This window comes from Homo sapiens, chromosome 11, assembly GCF_000001405.40.
Source record: "Homo sapiens chromosome 11, GRCh38.p14 Primary Assembly".
Lineage (NCBI taxonomy): Eukaryota > Metazoa > Chordata > Mammalia > Primates > Hominidae > Homo > Homo sapiens.
This window is the reverse complement of record NC_000011.10, coordinates 96,489,957-96,515,756: the sequence shown is the minus strand read 5'-3', so window position 1 is coordinate 96,515,756 and position 25,800 is coordinate 96,489,957. Positions and strand designations below refer to the sequence as shown.

Here is a 25,800-nt window from a genome sequence, read left to right as displayed (position 1 = left end):
AACTGTGAAATTTAACTAATTATAATATACCAATGTTGATTCCCTAGCTGTGACAAATGTATCCCGAAATGTGAGATGTTAACAAAAGAGAAAACTGGTTGATGCAGTATATAGGGGCTCTGTAATATCTTTACAACTTTTCCTAAAATTTAAATCTAGTCTAAAATATAGCATCTGTTAAAAATTTAAAAGTGGTAGAGCTTATATAATTGCCCACATGTGCACAAAATATCTGTGGAAGGATAGGCAATAAACTAGTTATTTCAGTTGCCTACCAAAAAATCAGTCGTATTTCCCCTTCCAGCAGGAAAAATAAAATATAACAACATGGAAATATTTAAACTTTCCATAAGAGAAATCTAAGACTTTTGCTCAATAGTGCCATTTACACACAGGAATGGAAGATTTTTGTGAACTCTGATAATTTATCTTTATTTCTACTTTTAAATTGGGTTTTGTGACTATTGCTATCTCATGATGAAGTAAATGACAAGGTGGGGTATAGTTAAGTAAAACCATGTAGTTTTTCCTCTGCCTTCTTTGATATAGCTCATTGAAATTGATTCTAAGTTCATTAACTACATAATAACATCAAGAATTTCCAAAAGTTTACAAAAATGAAGAGAAATAAAAGCTAATATAAAATTAATATTATAGTAATTTATATTAATTTTCTATTTTAATTTATATCGATGTATTAATTTATCTTTCCCCAAGGAAAACAAGGAACTAACATGTATAAAGCAGATATCATGTGCAAAACATTTGCAATACATTTTCTCAATTCTTGGCACAATACAGGTGAGATTATTCTGGTTTAACAAATGAAAAAGTGAGATTTTAAAAACTTTTTCAAGTAATCTTTCTATGTTATATAGATAATGAATAGCAGAGCCAGAATTTGACAGAATTTTGCTTAATTCAAGATACAGACTTTCCCATCACACTATACTACCTTCAAGAATATTAACCCTGGGAGGTAGTCAAAAGGTTTTCAAGGTTAACTGTTGTTATGTTTTGATTTATTTTGATTTATTTTATAGGTTACAAAGCACAATAGTGGGTAAAAGCTTTTTTTAGACCCCAAAATGCCAAGGTTAGATAGCTTCTTCTCTATTGGTTTCAGTTGCATTAATGTGTTGACTTCAGCAGGTTCACTAAATATCCTCAAGTTCCCATGTTAGCATTTGCTAAGTAATGTGTTCAACTCAAAAGTCCCAATGTGGGTCCTCTGGTGCAATTTTCTCATTGATCATTTTTTCTAAAAATAAAATAATGAGATATCATGGCATTGATATGCATTACTAAGGCAAAGAAAATGTAATTTGCTTTAGGATTTTTTTGTTGTTGTTGTTAAATTATACTTTAAGTTTTAGGGTACATGTGCACATTGTGCAGGTTAGTTACATATGTATACATGTACCATGGTGGTGCGCTGCACCGACTAACTCGTCATCTAGCATTAGGTATATCTCCCAATGCTATCCCTTCCCCCTCCCCCCACCCCACCACAGTCCCCAGAGTGTGATATTCCCCTTCCTGTGTCCATGTGATCTCATTGTTCAATTCCCACCTATGAGTGAGAATATGCGGTGTTTGGTTTTTTGTTCTTGCGATAGTTTACTGAGAATGATGATTTCCAATTTCATCCATGTCCCTACAAAGGACATGAACTCATCATTTTTTATGGCTGCATAGTATTCCATGGTGTATATGTGCCACATTTTCTTAATCCAGTCTATCATTGTTGGACATTTGGGTTGGTTCCAAGTCTTTGCTATTGTGAATAATGCCGCAATAAACATACATGTGCATGTGTCTTTATAGCAGCATGATTTATAGTCCTTTGGGTATATACCCAGTAATGGGATAGTAATGGGATTTTCAAAAGACCAACTGAGAAACTCAAAATGACTCCTCTGAGTCTCTCACACATCCATTCTCTCTTCCATTCATTTGTTTACATACTAAACAAAACTTATTGAGCACATCCTACATACCTGGTACTATTTCTTCTAGACATACAAATAAATGAGACAAATAAAATTTCTATACCTATAGAACTTATATTTTAGGAGATCAGAAGGTGGGGAAGACTGAAGGTGGGGTATTTACTCACCAGCTTCCTCCCCACAGGGATTGTGTGTTGGCTATGTCCCTCCAAGTCGATTGCTCCTTCAGGTGGCCCTCTCTACATAACTACTCTCTCGATGCTAGAGCTTACAGCTATTAACTTGTTACATAGCTGAGGGTACTGCAATACCCTTTATGAGTTATTTTAATTTTGCCCATACCTTTATTAAACTCACCTTATGACCCTGTTGGAGTGTACCGTGTATTTCCCACCCAAGCCTTGATACACACAGCCTAATACCCTGTCTATGGCTATCTTAGAGCTTGTGATTCCTGTATTTTTCCAAACTCTGCCTTCTCTGCTGTCTGCCAACACTTCCAAAAATTTACATGCGGAAGATAGAGGTATGCTAATTATAAGTGTTACATCTTCAGAAAAAGAGATAAAGAACTTGAAAGTGAGGACAAAAGGAGAGCAGTTAACCAAATGATATAATAAAAAGGAGTCAAAGAAACAAGGGAGTTATGGCACTGATATGAAACAGGCTCTCCTGGTTTACTGGTCCCTTCCCAGGGGCCTTTCCCAGGGGATAGTCATATTATAAACCTGTATCTCTCTCTTTATCTCTCTCCCTCCCTCTGTGTGTGTGTGTGTCCCTCCTCTTATGTTTGGCCCTGTCTTCTCTGAAAAGCTCTGGCATTTTCTTTTACAACTGTCATAAAGCTGCCTAAATCTGTCAAGCATGTGTCTGCTCTTCCATGCCGTTCCATCACTTCGTTTTAGGTCACATGCCACTCAAAACAGTGATAATACCTTAACAGAAGAATGCTTGCTAGTAAATGTACACAGAATAACAAAATCAGAAAAATCACCATTTTCTAATCCCAATGTACTATTTGACTTAAACAAGGGCAGTCAATGGATACAAAAAGCATTGGTAAAATGTTGTTAAGGAAAAAGAGATTCACAAATTTCAAAGCATTACACAATGGATTATTTAAAATTTATAAAGGAAAAGATATACTTTTACAATTGGGACTTCTGAGAGTCACCACCTTAAATGAGTGATCAAAATTATCATTACTAATAAAGGAACAATCTGATATATGTCTCAAATGTGACGTGCTTTGAAATACAGATAATCACCTACCAAGCACTCTTGTCAAATTGTTTAACTTGTATCTTACCAAACTCTAGACCTATCTTCCCATTTCCAAGAAAGATAAAGGATAGAAAACAATTTAGTCAACGTAGAAGACAATCAGACGAAAGGACATTTTACAAGACAGCTGATCAAAGCTCTTTAAATAATTAGTGAGAAAAATAATATGAGAGGATTATTCTATATTAAAAGAAAGTTACATATATATAACAAAATCAAATGTGTGCACCTCAATTGAGTCCTATATTTTTAAAAAAGTATCTATAAAAGACATCTGGTAATATCTGGATAAATTTTAAATATTGGCTGGATGATATTATATAATCATTTTTATTTTCTTAAGTGTTATAATAATATGGTTCTATAACAGGTTGTCATTATTCCTAGGAAATACATGGTAAAGTACTTTAATTTGAAAAATCCCAAAGTCTGGAACTTACCTCAAATGGTTCTGGCGTATACATCCAGAAGGGCAGAGGGGGAAGCATGCATAAAAGTAAAAATATATATATTTTAAAATCTGTATGAATGGCATATGGATATCTAATGTTCATGATACAAATGTGTTAAGTATCAGTAATCATAGGACACTGTCTAAAGATATTTCTTTGAGTGTATTTTCTGGAACACCAGTTATGTGATATGTCAGGAAAAAAAAATAATTCCATGGTCAGATATGTTTATGGAAACTGCACAGTAAATTGCTCTTGCAGAAATTCACAATTGTACATTAATGATAATAGTGCATGCATTAATTTCTAAATGCTTCATAAAACTGTGTGAGGTAACCCAGATTACAGTCCTAGAAATTAAAGCACATAAAGGTTAAGCCATGTATCCAAGGTTCAAGATCACACAGCTCATAATGGAGTTAAGATGGGAACCGAGGCAGTCTGGTTCAGGAGCCACAGCTACATGCTACAACAGACGTTCAGAGAAGCTCTGCACTAAAGAAGCTTGCTTAACTCATAAAATACCCAGTACTTCTCATCCTTAATATTTCTATACTTTTTCTGTGTAATACTCTTCAGCTTCCTTTAATATCTGAGAAACTGGTTTATGTCCTGCTTTCAAGGATCATACAGTTGGGCTTGGAGGTAAGACTTAATATACATGTAGCAGCAAACAATAAAACAACACCAACTTAATTGATTAATTGTATAGAACAATCCACAGAGGGTTAGTTATTTAAAGAAAGATCAATCTCCACCTCTTAAACTAGAAAGCTATCTTAGACAGTCTTAATAGCCAAGGAAAAAGAAGACATAATTCAAGAATCATGATTTAAAAACTGACTTTTGAATTACGGTATAAAAAAAGATGGGTTTTACTCTGCAAACTTTTCCTCAGAATTTAAGGCTCTACTTATTATTGGTTTCAGCTTGATTTTTAGCAATTTGAATAACTAACCAAGTACAGTTTTTTTTTTTAGAGAGGTAAATACAAATATATCAAGATGATAAAGAAGACCATTAGATACCCTTCATTAACCAAGAAGAAAGTTTCTTACCTCATCAGCAGCCTTACCATCTACTTTACAGGTATGCTTGCCAAGATTGAAGACCAAATATTCTTTTCAGGCTTAAAATTGCACTGCAAAGAAATGATGAAGAACACTCTTTTCATATATATAAATGTACACTAAAACAAAAATGAGAAAAATGCCATATCTAGAATTTATGTAGAACTATTTGCCTGTTCAAAATACTCACATGTGTATTAGATCATTATGCTAAAACTGGCAGATCAAAGGAAACCATGAGCAGCAACATTAGAAATATATCCTCAGCTGCAGAGAACCGTGTGTTAGTAGGAACACTCACATCACCAATGCATTTTTAAAGCATTATGTTCCAGAAACCTCATAGGAAGAAGCCTATAATAATTTAAAACCGTAAGTCTCTAACAAAGATTTCTTTCCACATCATGAAGCATTCCAAAATTGCTTACCTACTTTTTGATTGGCCCTGAAGTGGGGTTGTGAGCTGTGATATTAAGTTTTCCATTAAATATTGTTCTCAGAAATTAGTTCTAAATTATATATTGAGTCTCTCTCCTTATTTTGATGCCATTCTGCTTCCAGGCCATAATGTAAGCCTCTTTCTTTATATAATGCTTTCTATTTTCCCTACAGATAAGTTTCTGCTACCAGGGATACCTAGGCAAGATTAATATGACTTTCCTACTTAATATAAATCTTTTGATTTGCTGCTGAATGGACTATTCTTCAGGATTGCTATCTAACTTCAAGAAATAATGCTGTTTATCATCTGGTCCTGAAAGCAGCCGACCACATCTGGATATTTTTGCAGTTTGAATTCAGAAACCATGAAATATAAATGTGCTACTATCAGCAGTGAGCAGAAATCAAATGAATAATGTTGGTTAGACAACCGAAGTGGTTTACATTTCCTTTACATTCCTGATATTTTAGTTAAATAGAAAAGACTATTAATGTTACAAGCAGGGATATTTTTGGCAATCAGACTTCAAGCCGAATAAACTCAGGAAACATAATTAAGGATTTCTAATATTTCATGTTTTTTCTTTTCCCCGCAGGGTTTTTGGACCAGAATGGCAGCTACTCTGTGTGACACTGCAGCAAAACGTAAGGCAGTTGTCAAATGTTCATCACCCACATATATCCCTGGATATTAAATTGAAGTCAAATTTTATGAGACTGTCACCTGACAGGATTTAGGCATTTTTGTTTACTTTTCCCATCTTGTATTGTCTATAATAGGATATATGGAAGACTGTCTATAAGCAAATTTATGATGGAGGCATTATTTTGCTCCACTAACAACTCATTAAACTTAGCAATTTTTGGCAAAAAGCAACATGTGGATAAGAAGTAATTAGACCATTTTGCTTATTCAGGCCGTAGACTGTTTCTGAATGCAGTTCTGAGAAAGGATGTTAAAAGTGATTTCATATATTCATTCTTTCTTTCATTTATTTCAAGAAGTGCCTACCCCTGATATAGGTTCTAAAACTTTTCAATCTAAGTGCTTGCCATCATGAGCTACATTATGAATCATAAGGAAGGAAGGCAATCACTAGTACACAAATTTGCAATAACAGCAGCTTCATTGTAACAAGCTTTATAATCTAATGAGAGTGCTTTCGAGGACTGTGCCAATTCAATGTATAATTTAGTCACTCAAAAATACTAAATGAGTATCTTCCATGTGCCAAATACTGTTCTAGACTCCAGGGAATAGAAATGTCTATGACACAGACATGAATATCTAATCCACCCTTATAGAACTTACACTCTGGAGCAGAAACCAACAATAAGGTTTTTTTGTTTTGTTTTTAGATAATAGTAAGTGCAAAAGAGAAAAATGAGCAAGGGAATGAGATATAGTGTCAGTAGGGAGCAATTTTAGTTAGAGTGGCCAGGAAAGCCTCATTGCAAACATGACATGGGAGTAAAGACCAATCACATCAGTGTTGATCTTCATAAGTTATGGCCCTGGAACATGAGAGACAGAAAGGCAGAGATAAGCAAAGTAACTTTCGAAAGGTTCCTAACAAAATGTCACCTTACCCCTGGAAAGAGACCTGTAATGCTGTTTGCATTTTAGCCTTTTAATGTAAGGTTTTATAGTGCAGACACGTAAATATATTCTAATGTAAGCAGTGTTAGTTTCCCCTTCTCTCTCTGTAAAGAATGGTTTTCTCTCAGGGAACCATAGGTGATTTGGACCAGGAGCACCAGAAGCAAACCTGGGCTGCTTCCCAGCTCAGTAGAAACAGACCTACAGGAGACCATCTCCAAATAGTCACAGTGATATGAAAAATCTGGACCTTATCAAATAGATTTTTTACCCGAAGCTAAAAAATTCTAAAACCTCACTAACTGGAACTTTTAGAACACTTCTAGGATTATGCTGTTCAAACTAATCCTGAAGTCAGGTTCAGTACACCACCTTTGTCCTAATAATTCTTTCTATAATTGACATATGGTTCCTGTTCTCTTTTAAGCCACCTTTCCATTGCCCTCAAGTTGCTTTTCTTAAAGAAGTAAACTCACTCATCATCCAGGATGCTGTCCATTGTTTACCTAGGCCCTTGGGCTTTTCTCTTGCAGAGGCAGAGGAGTGAGTGTTGTCTTCAACTGACATCATAATTGCTTAAACAGAGGAGTGGAACCTTCTAAAGTCTTCAAATCCCACCCCCACCCCCAAACACACACATATACTCCTTGTGATACTATAGGATAGCATAAAATAGAAATTAGAAAATCTACTTAATATCTAACGATGCAACCTAATTGTAGAGACACAGCAGCAGAGCCAGTGGAGACAGTGGGATTGTTTGTCCTGACTAGCCAGTGAACTCCAGCCTGACCAAATGACCTTCTAAACTTAATAAGAGTACATACCACTCTCTCACTGCTCAATTTTATAAATCATTTCCTGAATTACTCTTGCATTTGGGAAACTCCTGAAATCTTGCTTTATCTTCCCTTTTCAACCCTGTAATTGTGTTTTACATCTGATATGGCTTCTCTGACCCATAATTCTTAGAAAGGATCAGCACTTGCCTACAGATGCAATTGCTCTTTCTGCTCCTTTGAATTTCCATTTTTATTTTTTTTCTTTCTTTTTTTTTTTTTTTGAGATGGAGTCTCGCTCTGTCGCCCAGGCTGGAGTGCAGTGGTGCGATCTCGGCTCACTGCACGCTCCCCCTCCCGGGTTCACGCCATTCTCCTGCCTCAGCCTCCCGAGAAGCTGGGACTATAGGCGCCCACCACCACGCCTGGCTAATTTTTTTTGTATTTTTAGCAGAGACGGGGTTTCACTGTGTTAGCCAGGATGGTCTCGATTTGCTGACCTCGTGATCCTCCTGCCTCGGCCTCCCAAAGTGCTGGAATTACAGGCGTGAGCCACTGCACCCAGCCGAATTTCCATTTTTCTTAACAAAAATTAACCATCGTCCATTGTCTATCATTCATTTATTCAACAAGTAAGAATTGAGTGCTTACTGTTAGGTTTTGAAGGGAGACGAGGGTTAAAAAAAGACACAGAGAGGGGGCAGCTCAAACAGCAACACAGGTATATTGCAGACACCTGCGGAAGTTGAGGGCCAACTAACTTAGGGCCAGACAGAGCTCACCGCCGCTTACAGGCTGGGGTACTTAATGGGTCTGAGCGGCAGAGATCTGGGCCATATAGCTGGCTGCCCGGCAGGATATTCATAAGATGTTCCCATGATGAGGCAGTTCTGGCTCTTATTCCTCCAGAACGTGGTGTTTCTTTGCACTTTCTCCCAACAGAATATGATAGAGATGTTTCTTTAGTTGAGCCTTTGCCGAGTAGGGTATGATAAGAATGTTTCTTCCGTTGGGCCTTTGCCGAGTAGGGTATGATAAGAATGTTTCTTCCGTTGGGCCTTTGTCTGCCTTGTGGTCAGGTGGGTAGGCAAGATGTTTCTCACAGCCTGAATCTTGGTGAAATGTTTCACTTTGGCCAAGGTCTGCAAAACAGCGGGGGGGGGGGGGGGGGGGGGGGGGCGCTTACAAAATGTTACAGTTTGGAGTAACATTCTTGCCTCCTACTTTACTATAAAAGAAAGATGAGAGTTGTTCATTATGTGGCTGCTTCCTGCTGAATAGGGGCACTGTAGTCAGGGTTTGGGTTTTGAAGTACTGCGTGTCGTCTTCAGAGTTGTTTTCCTGGAGGCGCTGATACCGGACTTGGTGGAGAAGGATGGTATGAATGTGTTTCTAGGTGGCTGCCTGGACAAGGGAGTTCAGCCTTTGGGAGATAAAGCAGAATATAAAGGTGAGTACACAGGAGTAGTTTTTAGTATTATGAGGGAAGAAAACTAAGGGCTCTAAGAAGGGGTTACCAAGGCATCCACTTTAGAAACAATGACCCCTGCCACCAAGAGTTAGTAACTTGATGGATTTCTGCAGCCCTGTCATGGAGCCTTAGGGCCGCGTCATGAATAATGCTGGATTCATTAACATAAAAACAGCATTGGTTTTGGAAGTATACACATATGTCCCCCTTCTCAGCGATTAACAGGTCTAGAGCCCTTTGGTTTTGAAGGACGACTCCCACAAAGGCGTCTATCTGCCTTTGGAGGCTTGTCATGGAAGTGTGCATGTCCTCTAGGGTATCATAGAAAACTGCAGAGATTTTGTTATATAGGGCAGTTGAGGGTGATATCCCTGCTATTCCAGTGCCAAGTGCAGCAGAGATGCTTAATCCTGTTACCAGAGGAATGAGATGTAGAGCCCGCTTAGTGCATGTAGAGGAAGATGAGACAGAAGCTGCTAAAGGAACCTGGATGCTCTGGTTGTTTGGTAGGATGTTAATGTTTGGGGACTGAAATACTAGGGTGCCTGTTCCTGACCAATTGGCCAGTAGGCAGAGATAAGAGTTTGTTTCACACAGAAGAGACTTGGGGTGGACAGGGAAAAGTTGTAAGTGAAGGTAGTGAGCCATGAGAAGGAGGGGTTGAATCCTGAATAAACATTTTGTCCCAACTTTCTGTTTTTCCAAGTTGAATAGTTGGTAGCAAGGGTTGTCCCTGTGAGGGCCTGATAGGGAATATTGATGGGGAAGGAGGTGAAGGCTTTTTGGTTTTGGAGAGAGAGAAAGAGATGGGTTTTGGTAACTAATAGCCATTGTGGTTCTGACAGGGCAGAAGGATAAAGGTTGCAGTTGAGGGAATCATGTGCATTTTTTTTTTCCAGGAAGCACACTTGAGTTTGATACATGGAGAGCTGCACCAGCAGAGAGGGGCAGGGTTGGTAAGGAGGTGTTTTATGAAATCCAGCTTGAAACATGTTTCGTTTAGAGGCCATGAAGTAAAGGAGGGCGACATCCCAGTGTGTGACAGTGTGGGTTTATTTGATGGATTGGGGGAAAGGTGTTTAGCTGAGCAAGATTATAAACAGGTTTTGGGAATGGATTGGCTGAGTAGGTGAGATGCAGGTTTATTTTGGACCAGGTTTATGTGGTTAGGTTAACAGGAAGGGCTGTGATTTGCTGGATTTATGTGGACAAATAAATTTAACAGTTGGAAGAAAGAGGGAAGTGTAACTGATTAAAAGGTAATGTGTGAGGTTGACAAAGGGGCCCCAACTGCCAAAGGTTGGGGGTGGGGACTTAGAGTATCCAACAGACAAAGAAGACAAAAAGAAAAAATAAAAACAAAAACGGAGATTTGAGTAGGAGTGATATCCTGGAAGGTGTCCTGCAGCCATAGCTCCTGGATTAATGTGAGGAACTGGAGTGGTCTATCCAGGGACACGGGAGGGAATACTGGGAAAGATTTGAAACAAAGTATGAGATAAAAGATTTGAAATTGGAGGCAGAGAATGTCATGGACCAGGGCCTTCTGGATCGGCAACTTCTGGAATTTTTGTAAGCGCAGCAAGTCAGTCCTGTGAGGGAGGAAGAATAATTTGGGGATGAGGAAATTTCTGGAAGTGGAATTGGTGGTCTTTTTAGTTTGGAATGGTGTATCCAATATGGATAGGATGTTAGCTTTGCTGCCATGAGAGTAGTTAGGATTACCTGGTGAGGACCCATCCACTTTGGTTGGAGAGAGGAGGAGGAGGAGTCTGTGATTCAGACCCAGTCCCCTGGTTGTAGGGACAGGGAGGAGTGTCTGGAGGATGGGCTTTCAGGCTGGGGCAAGTAAGCATTTGCACACTGTCTTGTTAGATGTTGAGTGAGGTGTAATGCCAGCCAAGTATCCCATATAGAAGGGGGAGGAGATGAAGGAAGATCCTGGAGGATAAAGGGGCATCTGTACATGAGTTCAAATGGGCTTAGGCTGAGGGGCTTGTGGGGAATGGCTCACAAATGCATGAGGGCCAATGGGAGAAGTGAAGTCCAGGTCGTCTTAACCTCAAGGGAGAGTTTGGTTAGTTGTTGTTTCAGAAGGGCATTGGCCTGTTCAATCTTACTGGAAGATTGGGGGTTACAGGGAATATGGAAAGCCCATTTAATGTTTAGAGCCTTTGCTTGCTGTTGGTTAACCTGTGAAATAAATGTTGGCCCATTGTCTGACTGGATGGTAGAGGGGAGTTCAAACTGGGGGATAGTATGAGTGAGGAGAATAGAAGTGACAGTGTGTGCCCTTTTGGTGGTGGTAGGAAAAGCTTTTATCCAGAGAATATATTTACTGCTGTCACAAGGTATTGGACTCTTTTTATGGGGGGGCATGTGGGTGAAGTCGATTTGCCAGTCCTGCCCTGACAGGTGTCCTCAGGCCTGGTGTGCAGGAAAGGAGGTGATTTGATAGCTTCCTGAGGGGAAGTTTGAGTGCAAAGGGAACATGCCTTAGAAATATTTTTGAGATTAGCAGCCATGGTGGGAGAATGTATATAACCTTTTAAGAGATGGAGTAGTGGGCAGTAACCAGCATAAAAATTGTTGTGCACTTATAAAAGTACAGAAGTTTTTTGTGACTTGAGTAAGACAATTTTATTATTGAGGTAGAACCATTTTAATTCCTGAATGGTGCCAGCCTAGGTGACTGAGATTTGTTCCTCTTGGGTATATATAGGGTGTATGTTGGGAAAAATGGGCAATAATGATTTTTTAAGGGCTGTCTGCTGGGCCGCCGAACTTGCTAAAAACTTTCCCTTGTTTATGGCATTTGTAGCCTTTTAGTGTCCTTTACAATGGATGATGGCAGCCTGTGATGGTAGTTTAGCTGCCTCCAGCAGCTTGTATATGAGTTTGCCATTTCCTATGGGGGTTCTTTTTGTAGCTAGAAAAACCCTTTCCGGCTAGCTTAAGGCGTGAGAGTGTAGGATGTGGTATGTGTATTTGGAATTCATGTAAATATTAATTCTCTTTCCCTTTGCTAGGGTGAGGGCCGTGGTTAGAAAAACTAGCTTCACCTGTTGAGGGGTAGTATGAGGCGGGAGAGCATTGGATTTTAGGAGTTTGTTTTTGGCAATGATGAGTTTGTTTTTGGCAGCTGCTGGACATGGCTCCCTAAAAGAGCTTCTGTTAATGAACCATGTAGGGGTTCCCTGCAAAGGGGCTTCCAAAATGTGTTGGAAGTGGGAAGAGAGGGAGTCTAAGAGGTCCAGGCAGGAGTGAGAGAGAGCTCAGAGTTGGAGGTGTTTACAGGGAGAAGGGTGGCCAGGTTGAGAGCTTTACATTTCTGGAAAGTGATTTAGAGAGTTTCCTATGAATAAGGCATGTACCTGCTGTAAGCAGGATGGTGAGAGGGATAGAAGAGAATGATGGCTTATGAGGTTCTATAGGTTATGGGAAGATGCATTACACATAGTAATGTGTTGTTAGAAAGTGAGTTTCTGTGCCTCTGAGGCCAGCAATGTGGCCACACCTAAGATTTTTAGGCACAGTGGCCAGCCTTGAATGAGAGTCCGGTTGTTTTGAGAGGTATGTAACGGCTTGTGGGGCATTGCTGTATGTTTGGTAGTCCATAAGCAAGGCCTTGGTCAGAATGTACATACAGAGTAAAGGGGTTGGTGGGGTTGGGCAGTCCCAGTGCTGGGGCCATTAAAAAGGCATTTTTTTAGTTTTTTAAAGTGGGAGTTGATGGGGCAAGCTGGGTTCAGGGATTTTAGGATGGGCCCATGTGAGGCCGTGTAGAACAGCTTGGACAGCAAGCCAAACTTGGGAATCTACAGCTGGAAGTATCCCACAAGACCCAAGAAGGAGAGGAGGTCCTCCTTTGTGTGGGAAAGAGGAATATCCCAATTTAGCTCATTTCACTGAGTTGAGAAGGCCTGAGAATTAGGCGGTAGAGTAAGCCCAAGGTAAGTGACCTGGGTTTGGGCTACCTGAGCCTTTGTGGGTGAGACCCGATATCCTTGACTATGGAGGAAATTTAAAAGCTGAGTGGTGTGTTCAAAGGACAGGTTAAGGGAGGGGCTACAGAGAAGGAGGTTATTGACGTATTAGAGGAGGGTGCTAGGAATAAGGGGAAGTTCAGCTAGATTCTTGGTGAGGGCCTGTCTGAATAGGTGGGGACTATCCTGGAACCCCTGTGGGAGTATGATCCATGTTAGTTGGGAGGATGTGTATTAGGATTTGACCAAGTGAAAGCAAAAAGACTTTGGGAAGCAAAATTTAAGGGAATAGTGAAAAAGGTGTCCTTTAGATCCAATACAGAGAAGTGTGTGGTAGATGAGGGAATATGGGAGAGTAGAGTATATGATTGGGACCACCAGATAGATAGGCCTAGTTAACAACTCAGAGATCCTGGACCAAGAGGTAAGACCTGTCTGTCTTATTGACCACTAGGATAGGGGTGTTGTGGGGAGAGGTGACAGGCTTGAGAATTCGAGCTTATAAAAGTTTACAGATAATAGGTTTGAGGTCCCTAAGACCAGCTGGGTTAAGGGGATTTTGAGACTGACGAAGGAAAATGGAGGGGTTTTGGAGGGTTATTGTGACTGGGATGTGATGTGTGGCTATTGTGGGTTTAGAAACGTTTCGAACTTCAGGATTAACAAAAGGTAACAGGGTGGATAATGAGGATGAGGGGAAGGAGAGGGAAGCATCTGGGCGGCAGAGTAAAATAAAAGGGATGGAATTGTAGGAGGCAAATTGTATGGAGACCTGGGATTTACTTTGTATGTCCTGCCCCAAGATAGGGTAGGACACTGAGGGATAATCAGGAATGGGTGGGTGAAGGGGGTGTTGAATAGGTTGCATAATAGAGAACCAGTCTGTTTGTGCCTAGAGGGGATTCCATTGACTCCCACAAATAGAGATAGAAGAACTGAGGAGGGGTCCAGAATATCCTGGTAAAACTGAGTAACTAGTCACATATTTAACAGGAAAAGCATAAGCTTACCAGATACTGACAGTGTTACCCTGGGTTCCAAGGCGGTGATGGCAGTGGGGGGAGTGGATTCCAGGCCCCATCAGTCTTCAGTTAGAGGTGGTGAAACGGGATGAAGAGTTTCGCTGAGCACAGTCCAATGACCAGTGTTCCTTGATACCACAGATGGGGCAAGGTTTTGAGGGTGTCCTGGGATTAGGGCAGGCTTTTGCCTAGTGACCCTGTTGGCCACACTTCAAACAGGCTTCCGGTGGTTTGTTGCGAGGTTGAGGATTTTTGTATGCATTGGGAACCCTGTTGAACGGCAGCTGCCAGCATCTGGTGTTTAGCTTGGTCCCTTTTTGGCTTTTGGGTTTTCAGTTTTTCCTCTGTATTGTTAAAGACCTTAAAGGCCACTTTGATTAAGTCTCTTTGGGAGATTTGAGGGTCATCCTCCAGTTTTTAAAGTTTTATTTATTTATTTATTTCTGGGGCTGACTGGGAAATTAAGTGTAAATGAAGGTAGATTCTGCCCTTACTGGTATTAGGGCTTAAGGTGGTATATTTAGTCATGGCCTCTGAAAGGCAGGAGAGGAAAAGAGCAGGGGCAGCTTTGTTCATGCCAGCTAGGAGGCATGATATTATATGGCCCTGTTTCTGTCTGTCTGCAGAAGTTGCCTGATAATCCCAGTTGGAATTAGTTCTGGGGACAGCTAGGGTCCCTACTGGGTTATGGGCAGCATCTTGTTGGTGGAGGGTGTTTGCATGGGCCTGGGCAGCTGTCGAGATGCATTCCCTGTGCTCCGGGGTGACGGTGGAGGACAGCATGACATATGTCATGACAAGTAAGGTCATAAGATTGAGTGATATTTAGAAATTCCTTGCAGGAGGTGGAATTTGTGGGAAAAAAGCCGAGCTTCTTTTCAAGCTGGGAGAGGCTGGCTAGGGAGAAGGAAACATGAACTCAGATTGTGCCTTAGGCCCCCACAACCTCCCACAACGGGAGTACTTTGGAGGACCTTTGGGCATGTGCCTGGTTTTTGGCAAAAGGGGGTTGAGTGTGAGACCTGGTATGCAGTGGAGAAGGAGGGGGCGAAGGGCAACAATAAGGGAGTAGAGGAGCCACAGCTGAATGAGAAGGAGGAGGGGTGGGATGGATACAGAGGGAGGGGGTTTGTTAGCCAGGTTGAAATTAGAGAAGGAAGCCTTGTCTGGAGGAGGAGGTGCTTTTGCAAGATATTTGTTGAGGAGGAGGATTTGAAAAGGTGAACAGGGTTGGCAGAGAGACAACCACAAACAGAGATAAGCAAAGCACCTCAGATCATTTACCATTGCACAGGAGGAAGTTTTTTACATTATGTTGAATTTGGAAATTGAATATTTTGTTGTTTGGCCATTGACTATTATTGTCCAGTTTACATTGAAGCTAGGCCACATTACAGAGGAAGGTACAGAGGCAAGTAAGGTGCTGAGTTTTTTTTTTTTTTTTTTTTTTGAGACGGAGTCTCGCTCTGTCGCCCAGGCTGGAGTGCAGTGGCGCCATCTCGGCTCACTGCAAGCTCCGCCTCCCGGGTTCACGCCATTCTCCTGCCTCAGCCTCCCGAGTAGCTGGGACTACAGGCGCCCGCTACCACGCCCGGCTAATTTTTTGTATTTTTAGTAGAGACGGGGTTTCACCGTGTTAGCCAGGATGGTCTCGATCTCCTGACCTCGTGATCCGCCCGCCTCGGCCTCCCAAAGTGCTGGGATTACAGGCGTGAGCCACCGCGCCCGGCCGGTGCTGAGTTTTAATAGAGTCCACCAAGCCCTGGGCTCATAGGTCCTGCAGGAGACATACGAGAGGAGTGAATACGGCATTCGGTTTTAATGGAGTTCGCCAAGCCCTGGGTTTGGAGGTTCCAGACGAGACATCCAGAGTGGTGTCTCGAGGAGGTTTTGAAGAGCCTTGCCCCATACTGGTGGCCAGAAGGGTGAGAAACTTAGAGGAGGGGAGCGAGTACCCCAATTCCTCCTGTTAGAAGGGAAACGGGAGAGCCAGAGCATCCCTGCAGCTCTTTGCGTTTCCCTGGAGACTGGAGTGGCCGGAGCGGCGAACATCGTGAGGGCGTCCCCTGAGAAGGCAGGCCACGGTCACCTGATGACCAGAGAGACCTCTCACCCAGCGCTGGGATTTTCTGTCAACAGGCAGGAATATGTGAGTAATCAGGACAGGAGGAGAAGGAAGACTTGCCCACTAATTGGAGACCAGTTTGGGTTGTGATGTCCAGCAATGGGGGTGATCCTTGTTGGAGCTGCCCAGAAAGGGGAAGGAAGGAAAAAGAAGATGGAGAGTTTGATCAGGATCTGGAGGTTAGCCCAGGGCTGGAGAAGAAGAGAGAACAAGGGAATGGGGCTGGGAACAGGGAGTTCCCTCAGGACCTGGAGGCGGGCCCGGGGCCAGCTTTTGCCGCTTGCTGCTTTCCAGGTAGCAAGAGAAGACTTACGCGTTAGAACCCAATCCCCATCCCTGGCTTTGGCACCAAAATGTTAGGTTTTAAAGGGAAGGCGAGGGTTAAAGAAAGACACACACAGGGCGGCTCAAACAGCAATACAAGTATATTGCAGACACCTATGGAAGTGGGAGACCAGCTTAATGCCAGAGCCCACCTCCACTTACAGGCTGGGGTACTTAAAGGTTTGAGCGGGAGGGGTCTGGGCCATATGGCTTGCTGCTCAGCAGGATATTGATAAGATGTTCCCATGATGAGGCAGTTCTGGCCCTTTTTCTGGTGGAACATGGTGTTTCTTTGCACTTTCTCCCAACAGAATATGATAGGGATATTTCTTTAGTTGGGCCTTTGTCTGACTTGTAGGCAGGTGTTAGGCAGGATGTTTCTCACAGCCAGAACCCCCATGAATGTTTCACTTTGACCAAGGTCTGCAAAATAGTGGGTGGTTTACAAAATGGTGCAGTTCGGACTAACACTTATTATGTGCCAGGCACTGATCTAAGTGTTAAGAATACAGTGGAGAACAAGACAGAGAGGGAGCCTGCTCTCATGAAACTGACATTCTAAGAGGGAGATAAATTCAAATCAAGTAAACATAAGCAGATAAGATGATTTTAAAGAGTGGTAAGCTTTATAAATCAAAGCAAACATGAAAGGAAATGCCTGACAAGTATTTTTCTAGATTAATTGGGTAGTCGAGGAAATCCTCTGAATAGAGGACATTTGACCTGAGTCTTGATGTTCAGTGGCCAGCCCATCCTGCTGGCTTGGGATAGGCTTCTCAAAAGAAACCCACCCAAATCTCACATAGAAATGTCATCTCCAGTGCTGGAGGTGGGCCTGGTGGGAGGTCATTGGATCATGGGAACGGTTTCTTGCGGTTTAGCACTATCCTCTCTTGGTGCTATCATCACGATAGTGAGTTCTTTTGATATCTGGTTGTTTTAAAGTGTGTGGCACCTTCCCTGTCTCTGCCTTCTTCCTGCTCCAGCCATGTGAATTGCCAGCTCCCCCTTCACCTTCTGCCATGATTGTAAGTTTCCTAAGGCCTCCCCAGAAGCTGAGCAGGTGCCAGCATCATGCTTCCTGCACAGCCTGCAGAACCATGAGCCAATTAAACATCTTTTCTTTATAAATTACCCAGTCTCAGGTATTTCTTTATAGGAATGTGAGAATGGACTAATGCAGAGGGATATATGTGTATATATATATACATATATGTATGTATATATATATCTTCATTGAAAATGAAAATGACAATAGACATAATACGTATAAACATAATAGCAGAAGCATTGGTGAAAAAGACAATTTTTCATAAAAATGAAATTACAATTAATTATTATGAAAAGAAGAAATAAAAAGGTGCCTCATTTGTCATTTTTAAATTATTATAACAATATAAACAATATCTCATCATTGTAGCAAATCTGAAAAAGGAAAAGACAAATATATTTTTTGAATCACACCTAATCCCACCACTCAGGAACAACCACTGAGAATATTTTGATATCCTTCCATCTAAATTTTTCAATTCTGATTATATTTTTACATAGCTGAATTAATATATATCATTTAAAAATTATATAAATTTTTAATATCTGATTTTTTCTCATTATAAAGGAAATTATGTTTGTTGCTGCAAAATTCTAAGCTTACATAAAATTGGATAAAAGGTAAAATAAAAGAAACTCAGGAACGCATCACTCAGAGATTTCTATGACAGCAATTTTCTTATTTTCTTATGATATTTCATGAATGTGCATGTGTGTGTATGTGGATGTTTGTGTTTGTGTTTAATCTACTAGCTATTATATAATATATCCTAATTTTAGTCAGTTACAGTAGGAATATTCAAAAACCTTTATTGGATCATGATATAAAGAAGAGCTTAGTAAAAAAAAATAATTGCTTGGCAGGGAGCAGTGACTCACGCCTGTAATCCCAGCACTTTGGGAGGCCAAGGCAGGTGGATCACTTGAGGTCAGGAGTTCGAGACCAGCCTGGCCAACATGGTGAAAACCATTTCTACTAAAAATACAAAAAATTAGCTGGGCGTGGTGGTGGGTGCCTGTAATCCTAGCTATTTGGGAGGCTGAGGCAGGAGAATCGCTTGAACCTGGGAGAAGGAGGCTTCAGTAAACTGAGATCAAGCCACTGAACTCCAGCCTGGTTGACAGACCGAGACTCCATCTCAAAAAAAATTTAAAAATTAAAATAATTGCTGTTATTGTGTATTTTCTTAGTCTTTACTGATTAAAATCTTCTATATAAGATACAAAAAAATAAACAAGAAAAACACTACTCTAGTTGCTTGGCAAGTTGCACAAATTGTGTGGCTGTAGACACCTCTACTGTTACAGAGTTGTGATAGCCATTAGTGCCAACTGCCAAATATTTTCTGTTCTTTGCCTTTCAGGTACATGGTAGGTTCACACTTTCTTTCCTCTTTTCTTTTCTTTTTGTGGTCTTGCCACTAATTCTGGCCAATGAATTGTGGAGAGAAGTGGTACACATCATTTCTGAGAACAATTCATTTAGTTGCCAGTACCAAACCCTCCAGGGTTCTCTTTCCCTCTCCATGAGGCTGGAACATCTGCTATGTTCCAGGTGATGGCTGCTCTAACTGCCTGGGTCCTGCAGTATGGACGTGTGAAGCATAGGCCCTAGACATCCTGTGATGGGCATGGCAGTATGTGTGAGAAATAAACCTTTCTTGTTTTAAGGCACTGAGATTTTGGCTTTGTTTGCTACTGTGGCATAACATAGTCTATACTAACTAATACCTAAATTGGTACTGAGAAGTGGGGAGTTGCCATTAAAAAAATCCAAAATATGTGGCTTTGGCTTTGGGCTAGACAGCCTGTTGTGAGAAACATGGAAGGATGATGCTCCATATTAAGCAATGGCAATGCTTTTGATAAAATAATCACCTGTATTCAGTGGTGTGCTAGAGCTGGTTTATGCCCAAGACAGCTAATTGTGAGTATCTCTTCCCAACTCCAAGTTTTATGATGTGATGTTGTTAACTTGGATCCATCATAATAGAAGAATTTATACCACTGAAATTGGGAGCACCATAAATCATGGAGTTTTTGCTTTTGTTTTCCTGGAGAGCTGGCTATTAAACATTTACCACCACACATTGACTGCAATAATTTATAAAGCAGATCCTGCACCTGATGAACTTGTATTTCTGAGGGACAAATTGGAGCATTAGCAATGTGTCCCAGCTGCTGTTTGTTGCACTTTGCAAAGTATTAAAAGGAAAAGATGGGCTCAGAATAGAACTGGTTCAGCTGTGAGCAGGAATAACAGAGAATAGAGAGAAACCACAAATTTAGGGACCCATAGAGTTGGAAGAGGCAAGTGTTTCTCAGTCCTGAAGAGGAAAAAATAAAATGGAGACACACTCTGAGAAACAATGCTTAGATAAAACTCAGTCTAAAAGTACAAAAACAAGGAAGTGCCCTTACACTTATTGTTAAAAGTCTTTAGATAGATTAAGATGAAACCCAATAAATCCCTTCAATTGTTCAAAATTGCTCAAGAAAAAAAAAGAAAAAAGCCTGAAGTCTGTCACTCCCTCCAAGTCAAAAATATATATGTACATATGCACATACTCACATACTGTGAGTATTTCTATGGACAAATAGACTAGAAGCAAATAAGTAAGAAGCCTGCTAAGTTTTTCAAACATTTATAATCCCAAATAAATTAGAGGTATGTGGAGAAGGAGGCAAAGAAGGAAAAGGAGGAGGAGGAGAAGGAGGGGGAGGAGAAAATATTGAAACTTCAAGACTTAAAATGACTTTTGGATTTCTAACTTCCTATGCAAAAGAAAACAACCGATAAGCAGCTTAAACAAAGGGAAAGCATATTCTCTAATCCCCATTCTAGACACAGTCAAAGAGAATAATTGGAAAGGAAGAACCTCAAAGAGAATAGAACTAAGAGCTACAAAGAACAATGGACTGGGGAGCTTCTCTCCTAGCAGAATCAGAACTGAGAAAAAGAATATTTGTTATCCTCAGAATAGCAGGCCCTTGAAAATTATCCCTAGTAGAATTTACAAATTGCTATGAATCAGTAACTACTGTGAATCTTCCTTACTTTCCACTTCCAAACAAGAATGTTTACTTTATTTATCCTGCTCAATCATTGTATATTAGGTTGGGAGAAACAGACTAATTATTCTTTTTAGTTCACAGATCTATGGATAGCAGGAGCCACATCTGGACCTGTGGCTCTGCTCTCATCTCTGCAATTTAGAAACCACCATGAATTATCAAAAATCCTAGACTCTGATTTGATGTTATGAATGGATAAAACTTTTCTATTTTCTCCAATGGGAAGACAGAGAATATATGTTGCTTGCAAGAAAGAATAAAGCAAATATTTGGAACCAAATAGGTAGATTGTGATTGTCTTGAGTGAATTCACTGTAGATTTCTAATTTCCCACTGTCCAGTCACAAGTAGAATTATATGCCTGGCTTTCATCTGGTTGGATTAGGCTATAAAACTCGATCTGGCAAATAAGTTGTAAATAAAAGTAACACGAATCACTTCTGTGTCAGAACACTTAAGTGCCTAGACATGACCATCCAAAGGTAATTTTTCCCTCTTCCAGGATGGCTGGCAATGTCCCAGTAGTGACTGTTTTACCAGCCTAGATCCTGAAATAGGATCTTTTCTTGCAAAGTCCCCCTTGCCCACCCAAGATGGACATGTGGTATGAGTGAGAAATCAAACTCTGTAATTTTAACCTACTGAAAATTAGGGATTATTTTTTACTGTAACATAAATTAACATGTCCTTACTGATATATTTTGAATTAAATTCTCCTCCCATAGTATCCTAAATTTGTAAAACCTCTGGCTATTTTAACAAATGTTTTATTAGCTTTTCATCCAAAAAGTGAAGAGATTTCACCTAAATTGTGTTACAACAGATATAGCTAAAAAAAAAAAAATACATTTCCTAGCGTTATAAAACATGAGGATGTAGAAGAGGATCAGTTAAGCGAAACACAGGAGCATCAAGCTTTGCCCAAGAAGATGATATTAAAATGTGTCCTTGCAATCCTTCCTCAGATCAACCATCTCAACTGTTCTCTTCTTATGACTACTCCTATGTCAAGAACTATAATATTAAGAACAAGAATTTTTAAGTTATTCTTTTGTTACCTATAGTAGATCATTTTCAAAACTATGTTCTTTCTAAATTTTCTTTCCTTTTCCTTGCTTTGTATTATCTACATATAAATGATACGGATTATTTCTTGTCTTGAGTAAGAAGAAAGAACCGATAATAGAAAAAGTGTATAGATGTCACTGGATTAGTTCACTGTTAATTTTTGTGTTCTTTGGGCAAACTGTCTTCTTAAATATTAATACTGAACATAATATATTCCTAAATATATTCAATTCCCAGGATGTAGCATGCTTTCATCCATACTGCCACTGGTTTTAATGAACAGAAGATGGAAATTCAGATTATGACACAGTATGATGTTCTAATTATGAAGTTCATGAAAAAAACTGTAATCTTCAGAAGGCACTGTTTTCAATCAATTCCTATCCTAAATGCAATCTATTATTTGTGAAAACTATACTTCCCAGAATATAAGAGATCATTGTTAGTTTCTTCCACATTCTGCCCTGTTATCTTCTCAAAGTTGCAGTCTTTTTTAAAAATATAGTAAAATGGTGCATGGGAATACAGAATTATGGGTGAATCAGATAAATGACAGTCTCAAACAGAATATCTTTATAATGGAGGAGCCAGTGCTCAGTTTTCTGGTAGTCACTGGTCCAGATTCTCTCTCCAGGGGCACATTTCAGAGTGGAAAACAAGTAGCTTCTAACATTCTTCAGATAGAAGGGGCTGCTCTGTTTCATGAAGCAAAGCATGTGGCAGACAAAATTATTTTCTTAATCTAGTTTTATGACAGATACTGTTGTTTGTTGACATAGTAGCCATATTCGCATTCTTCATTTCCAAAGGAACCATGACTGTGTGTGTGTGTGTGCGTGTGTGTGTGTGTGTGTGTTTGTGTACACATATGTGATAATGTGCCTATCCCTAGACTAATTATTGGTCACAAAAAAATCTATTTATCTTTGAAAGTGATGGACCCACTTCTTTTTTTTAATACCTTAAGTTCTGGGGTACATGTGCAGAATGTGTAGTTTTTTTACATAGGTATACATGTACCATGATGGTTTGCTGCACGCATCAACCCGTCACCTACATTAGGTATTTCTCCTAATGCTATCCTTCCCCTAGCCACCCACCTCCCTACACGCCCCAGTATGTGATGTTTCCCTCCCTGTGTCCATGTGTTCTCATTGTTCACCTCCCACCTATGAGTGGGAACATGCGGTGTTTGGTTTTCTGTCCTTGTGACAGTTTGCTGAGAATGATGGTTTCCAGCGTCATCCATGTCCCTACAAAAGACATGAACTCATCATTTTTATGGCTGCATAGTATTCCATGGTGTATATGTTCCACATTTCCTTAATCCAGTCTATCATTGATGGACATTTGGGTTGGTTCCAAGTCTTTGCTATTGTGAATAGTGCCTCAATAAACATACATGTGCAAGTGTCTTTATAGTACCATGGTTTATAATCCTTTGGGTATATACCCAGTAATGGGATGGCTGCGTCAAATGGTATTTCTAGTTCTAGATCCTTGAGGAATCGCCACACTGTCTTCCACAATGGTTGAACTAGTTTACAGTCCCACCAACAGTGTAAAAGCGTTCCTATTTCTCCACATCCTGTCCAGCAACTGTAGTTTCCTGACTTTTTAATGATAGCCATTCTAACTGGCATGAGATGTTATCTCATTGTGATTTTGATTTGCATTTCTCTGATGACCAGTGATGATGAGCATTTTTTCATGTGTCTGTTGGCTGCATAAACGTCTTCTTTTGAGAAGTGTCTGTTCATATCCTTTGCCCAATTTTTGATGGGGTTGTTTGATTTTTTTCTTGTAAATTTGTTTAAGTTCTTTGTAGATTCTGGATATTAGCCCTTTGTCAGATGGGTAGATTGCAAAAATTTTCTCCCATTCTGTAGGTTGCCTGTTCACTCTGATGATAGTTGCTTTTGCTATGCAGAGGCTCTTTAGTTTAATTAGATCCCATTTGTCAATTTTGTCTTTTGTTGCCATTGCTGTTGGTGTTTAAGACATGAAGTCTTTGCCCATTCCTATGTCCTGAATGGTATTGTCCGGGTTTTCTTCTAGGATTTTATGGTTTTAGGTCTTAAGTTTAAGTCTTTAATCCATCTTGAGTTGATTTCTGTATAAGGTGTAAGAAAGGGGTCCAGTTTCAGCTTTCTGCATATGGCTAGCCAATTTTCCCAGCACTATTTATTAAATAGGGAATCTTTTCCCCATTGCTTGCTTGTATCAGGTTTGTCAAAGATCAGATGGCTGAAGATGTGTGGTATTATTTCTGAGGCCTCTGTTCTGTTCCATTGGTCTGTATATCTGTTTTGGTACCAGTACCATGCTATTTTGGTTACTGTAGCCTTGTAGTGTAGTTTGAAGTCAGGTAGTGTGATGCCTGGAGCTTTGTTCTTTTTGCTTAGGATTGTCTTGGCTATGCGGGCTCTTTTTTCCTTCCATATGAAGTTTAAAATAATTTTTTCCAGTTCTTTGAAGAAATTCAATGGTAGCTTGATGTGGATAGTATTGAATCTATAAATTACTTTGGGCACTATGACCATTTTCACGATATTGATTCTTCCTATCCATGAGCATGGAATGTTTTTCCATTTGTTTGTGTCCTCTCTATTTCCTTGAGCAGTGGTTTGTAGTTCTCCTTGAAGAGGTCCTTCACATCCCTTGTAAGTTAGATTCCTAGATATTTTATTCTCTTAGTGGCAATTGTGAATGGGAGTTCACTCATGATTTGGCTCTCTGTTTGTCTGTTATTGGTGTAGAGGAATGCTTGTGATTTTTGCACATTGATTTTGTGTCCTGAGACTTTGCTGAAGTTGCTTATTAGCTTAAGGAGATTTTGGGCTGAGATGATGGGGTTTTCTAAATATACAATCATGTCATCTGTAAACACAGATAATTTGACTTCCTTTCTTCCTATTTGAATACCTTTTATTTCTTTCTCTTGCCTGATTGCCCTGGCCAGAACGTCCAATACTATGTTGAATAGGAGTGGCGAGAGAGGGCATCCTTGTCTTGTGCCAGTTTTCAAAGGGAATGCTTCCAGTTTTTGCCCATTCAGTATGATATTGGCTGTGGGCTCATCATAAATATCTCATATTATTTTGAGATATGTTCCACTGATACCTAGTTTATTGAGAGTTTTTAGCATGAAGTGGTTTTGAATGTTGTCAAAGGCCTTTTCTGCATTTATTGAGATAATCATGTGGTTTTGGTCATTGGTTCTGTTTATGTGATGGATTACATTTATTGATTTGCGTATGTTGAACCACCCTTGCATCCCAGGGATGAATGATGCCAACTTGATCGTGGTGTATAAGCTTTTTGATGTGCTGCTGGATTCAGTTTGCCAGTATTTTATTGCAGATTTTCACATCGATGTCCATCAGGGATATTGGCCTGAAATTTTCTTTTTTTATTGTGTCTCTACCAGGTTTTGGTAACAGGATGATGCATCCTTCATAAAATGAGTTAGGGAGGATTCTCTCTTTTTCTATTGATTGGAATAGTTTCAGAAGGAATGGTACCAGCTCCTCTTTGTACCTCTGGTAGAATTCAGCTGTGAATCTGTCTGGTCCTGGACTTTTTTTGGTTGGTAGGCTATTAATTACAGCCTCAATTTCAGAATTTCTTATTGGTCTATTCAGGGATTTGACTTCTTCCTGGTTTAGACTTGGGATGGTGTAGGTGTCCAGAAATTTATCCATTTCTTCTAGATTTTCTAGTTTATTTCCATAGAGGTATTTATAGTATTCTCTGAAGGTAGCTTGTATTTCTGTGGGATCAGTGGTGATATCCCATATGTCATTTTTTAGTGTGTCTATTTGATTCTTCTCTCTTTTCTTCTTTACTAGTCTGGCTAGCGGTCTATATATTTTGTTGACCTTTACAAAAAACTAGATCCTAGATTAATTGATTTTTTGAAGGGTTTTTCATGTCTCTACCTCCTTCAGTTCTGCTCTGATCTTAGTTATTTCTTGTCTTCTGCCAGCTTTTGAATTTGTTTGCTGTTGCTTCTCTAGTTCTTTTAATTTTGATGTTAGGGTGTCAATTTTAGATCTTTCCTGTTTTCTCTTGTGGTCATTTAGTGCTATAAGTTTCCCT

General features: G+C 40.0%; 2 long non-coding RNA genes across 2 annotated transcripts in view; one reads left to right on the top strand and one right to left on the bottom strand.

Annotated features, from left to right (window-relative positions):
* Nucleotides 1-1,006: 1,006 nt before the first annotated feature.
* On the bottom strand, nucleotides 1,007-7,332 carry LINC02737 (long intergenic non-protein coding RNA 2737). Its single transcript, NR_135097.1, has 4 exons — nucleotides 7,276-7,332; nucleotides 4,747-4,829; nucleotides 3,677-3,687; nucleotides 1,007-1,261 (listed from the first exon to the last, which is right to left on the bottom strand). It is a non-coding gene; the product is annotated as a long intergenic non-protein coding RNA 2737 (long non-coding RNA).
* A 1,548-nt stretch (nucleotides 7,333-8,880) lies between these two features.
* Nucleotides 8,881-25,800, top strand: part of JRKL-AS1 (JRKL antisense RNA 1) — a 63,596-nt gene continuing 46,676 nt past the window's right edge. Inside the window, exon 1 of the long non-coding RNA NR_047481.2 lies at nucleotides 8,881-9,028. This is a non-coding gene — a long non-coding RNA (JRKL antisense RNA 1). The remainder of the gene's footprint in view (nucleotides 9,029-25,800) is intronic.